Genomic DNA, 4,202 nt, shown 5'->3' on the forward strand with positions numbered 1-4,202 from the left:
ACCTTGTGATTGTGGAGGTTAATACTTAATAAACTCCCCTTATGTCTGTCTGTCTATCTGTCTGTCTGTCTATCTATCTATCTATCTATCTATCTATCATAGGATATATATATATATCTATTTATATTAGTTCTGTCCCTCTAAGAGAACCCTGACTAACACAGTTGGTGAAGGTTTCCTTTTCTCCTCTGATGATGTGAGTGAAGCAGGCTTTCAGGGATTATGAGAACAGGCGAAGTCTTCAAGGAGATGGGCCCCTCAAACACAGCCTGCACATCCCATCCATCTCCCCATTCTCCTGGAAGCCATGCCTTGGAAGGCAGAGGGGATGCTGGAGGGATGCAGGTCTCAGGGCCTGAGAAGTTGAGGGTGGTTCTAGATAGAGTAGAGAATGAATGGGATAAGGGGCAGTAGAGGCCTGACCTCCGAGAGATCTCACCACTCCTAACTTTGACTATTCCTGTCTGGCTGCATTTGGGTTTCCTTTTGTCCCAAGAAAAGAAAGACGAAAAACCTTAGAGTGTTGGGAGTCTAGATATGTTAAAACTAACAGATGTTAGTTCATTGATCACCAAGACAATGCACGGGCCAGTAGGACTTCTCACAGCAAAAAAGCCAGGATGGAGAGGCGGAAGACCAGGTTGGGCAGATCCTTCAGCTTTCAGCTGTTTTTCTCATCCTTTATAGCACTGTAATTAGGACTAGATGAGGAAAAAAAGATGGGCATGAGCTGTAGCTACAGGGGGAAAACAATAAATGACTAACAGATAAAAAAAATGTAAGTGAAGTGCTAATATTCCAGTCATTTAAAATATTGCTGGGAAGACCAATTATCCGTGTAAAAAAGGTGAAAACAAATATAACATTGCTTAGGTAATTCTGTGGACCCTTGATACACAGTATTTGCATAAAATCAGAATTACAGAATTTAGTGTTTTGTGGTTTTTGTTTGTTTGTTTTTTGAGACACCTGGGTCCGGGGAGGTGGAGGCTGCAGTGAGCTGTCATGCCACTGCACTCCAGCCTGCACAACAGAGTGATGAAAGAAAGGAAGGGAGGGAGGGAGGGAGGGAGGGGGAGGGGAGGGGAGGGGAAGGGGAAGGGAGAAGGGAGGGGGAGGGGAGGAGAGGGGGAGGGGAGGGGAGGGGGAGGGGAGGAGGGGGGGGAGGGGGGAGGGGAGGAGAGGGGGAGGGGAGGGGGGAGGGAGGGGAGGGAGAAAGAAAGGAAGGGAGGGAGGAGGAGGGGAGGGGGAGGGGAGGGGGAGGGGAGGGGAGGGGGAGGGGAGGGGGAGGGGAAGGGAGGGGGATGGGAGGGGAGAGGAGGGGGAGGGGAGCGGGATGGGAGGGGAGGGGGGAGGGAGGGGAGGGAAGGGAGAAAGGAAGGAAGGAAGGAAGGGAGAGAAAGCAAGGGAAAGAAGGAAAGAAAGAAAGGGAAAATAATCAAAAATATAAGAACACAAACAAAAGCACATTCTGTCAGCTCATCCTCTCTATAGGCTAAGGAAACTATACTATCTGAACCCAAAGGAGAGAAATAAACAAAATCAAATACTTATCTACCCATCCCTCTGCACACGGTCTTAGTTGAAGTGAGAGTATACACTTCATTACTGTGTACCTGGATTTTATCCCATTCTGCTACAAAATGCACGTCAGTGCGTTCACTTTCACTGCATGATATAGAAGCTGTTCTGTATGCAGCCAAATCACATTACTGCCCATTGCTGAAAGAAATGACCTTCAATGAACGGGTTATAAAATTCACTCATGATCACTTATTGAATGCCTATGTGCCAGACACACTGTTAAGCATGATGGAATCAGAGAAATGTTGCTGTCTAACGTATCCCAGTCTAGTGGGGTAATATATAACCTGATACATTATGATTCCATGGAAGTGTTTCACTAATGGTATAAATCACGAGCTGTGTCAGAAACCCAGGAGGAATTGATACGTCTCCCGGGAGAGTGTGGGGAGACTCTGGTGGAGGTGACGTGTGATCGTGGTCTTGAAGGATGAGCGGAAATTTGCCAAGTGAACAAGGGGGAAAGGAATTTACAAGTAGAGGGAAGAGGATGGCTCGTCAAAGTGTCTGGCAATACTGAGAAATGTTGAAAAGGGTGGTGTAGCTACAGCCCAGGTTTCACGGGACAGAGGTAGCTGCAGTGTGGTTAGGTTGGGGCTAGTGCATGGGGAGCCTTGGTACACCTGCCACGTGCAACTGGTAATCATCCCTAGAGGTACTGGGAGCACAGAGTGTCATGCGTGGAGTTACATGTACTGTGTGCTGTGCTTTTAATGTAACTTGAAGTCGTAAGGAGGGAATATATGATGTGGGAGCAGAGCAAGGAGAAGCAAGTTAGGGAGACCAAACAGGAGGCAGCAGTGGGGACGGCTGACTTTGAGAGGCGTCTTTGAAAGACAATAGGTAATATTTGGTAGACATTGGATGTGGAGGCTGAGGCAGCAGGAGAAACAGAGTATGACTTTGAAGTTGCTCAATACAGGAGATACTGGGTGGCTGGCGGTACTATTAACCCAGATGACAGGACACGGAAACAGGATGGGTTCTCTGCTCCGGCGTGTCCCTGAGGAGTCACTCTTAACTTTGGTACAGGTGATCAGCAACTGGGAAAGTGTATGAAGCCCACTCCAGAATGAGACCACTGACCTCTTCATTTCCATGCTTTCGGCTCAAGGTATCATTCGGCTCAACACCATTTAAAAGCTATCTAGGCTGGGTGTAGTGGCTCACACCTGTAATCCCAGCACTTTGGGAGGCCGAGGCGGGTGGATCACTTGAGGTCAGGAGTTCAAGACCAGCCTGGCCAACATGGTGAAACCCCATCTCTACAAAAAAATTAAAAAATTAGCTGGGTGTGGTGGTGGGTGCCTGTAATCCCAGCTACTTGGGAGTCTGAGGCAGGAGAATTGCTTGAACCCGGGAGGCAGAGGTTGCAGTGAGCTGAGATCGTGCCACTGCACTCCAGCCTGGGTGACAGAGCAAGATGCCGTCTAAAAACCAAAATAAAAAGCTATCTAGGGGCAGGCTTATGCCTGTAATCTCGACACTTTGGGAGGCTGAGGCGGGCAGATCACCTGAGGTCTGGAGTTCAAGACCAGCCTGGCCAACATGGTGAAACCCCATCTCCTTTACTAAAAATACAAAATTAGCTGGCCATGGTAGTGCACACCCATAATCCCAGCTACTCAGGAGGCTGAGGCAGGAGAATCGCTTGAACCCAGGAGCAGAGGTTGCAATGAGCCAAGATCATGCCATTGCACTCCAGCCTGGGCGACAAGAGAAAACTCTGTCTCTAAATAAATAAATAAAAATAAAAGCTATTTAGGGCCAGGCATGGTGGCTCATGCCTGTAATCCCAGCACTTCAGAAGGCTGAAATGGGCAGATTGCTTGAGTCCAGGGGTTTGAGACCAGCCTGGCCAACATGGCAAAACCCTGTATCTACAAAAATACAAAAATTAGCTGGGCGTGGTGGCACATGCCTGTAGTCCCAGCTACTTGGGGGGCTGAGGCAGGAGGATTACTTGAGCCCGAGAGTTGGAGGCTGCAGTAAGCTGTGTTTGCGCCACTACACTCCAGCCTGGGTGACAAAGCAAAATTGTCTCAAACAACAACAACAAAAACAACAACAAAAAGCTTTCTAGAACATTTCCAATCTAGTGCAAACCTCTTTTTGGTTACACCGTGTATCATTCCAGTTATAAGAATGTAAAAAGTGGCAACTCCGGAGCCAGGCTATCTGGGCAAGTGACCTCTGGAAAGGCCCTTAAACTTCGCTGTGTCTCAGTTTCCTTATCTACAGAATAAGGATTAAAATTATTCAAAAGGTTGTTGTGGAATTGAAATGAGTTAGTATATGTAAAAGTGAATCTGGCGCATAGTGTAAGTACTTTCTTTTGTGGAGTCTTGCTCTGTCGCTCAGGCTGGAGTGCAGGGGTGCAATCTTGGCTCACTACAAACTCTGCCCCCGCCACGCCCAGCTAATTTTTGTATTTTTAGTAGAGATGGGGTTTCGTCATGTTGGCCAGGCTGGTTTCGAACTCCTGACCTCAGGTGATCCACCCGCCTCGGCCTCCCAAAGTGCTGGGATTACAGGCGTGAGCCACTGTGCCCGGCCCATAGTGTAAGTACTTTCTAAGTGTTTGCTATCAATAAGTAATAAATCATAGAATACTCGAC

The 4,202-nt window shown here is 47.9% G+C and overlaps 1 annotated feature.

Moving 5' to 3' along the window:
• Window positions 3,454–3,954: an enhancer, noted in NCBI's record as "H3K27ac hESC enhancer chr12:12478241-12478741 (GRCh37/hg19 assembly coordinates)". NCBI's record gives its function as "activates a minimal SCP1, AML or CMV promoter by ChIP-STARR-seq in primed H9 embryonic stem cells {active_cell/tissue: H9 hESC(primed)}" and the evidence as "EXISTENCE:reporter gene assay evidence [ECO:0000049][PMID:30033119]".

This window comes from Homo sapiens, chromosome 12, assembly GCF_000001405.40.
Source record: "Homo sapiens chromosome 12, GRCh38.p14 Primary Assembly".
Taxonomy (NCBI): Eukaryota; Metazoa; Chordata; class Mammalia; order Primates; family Hominidae; genus Homo; species Homo sapiens.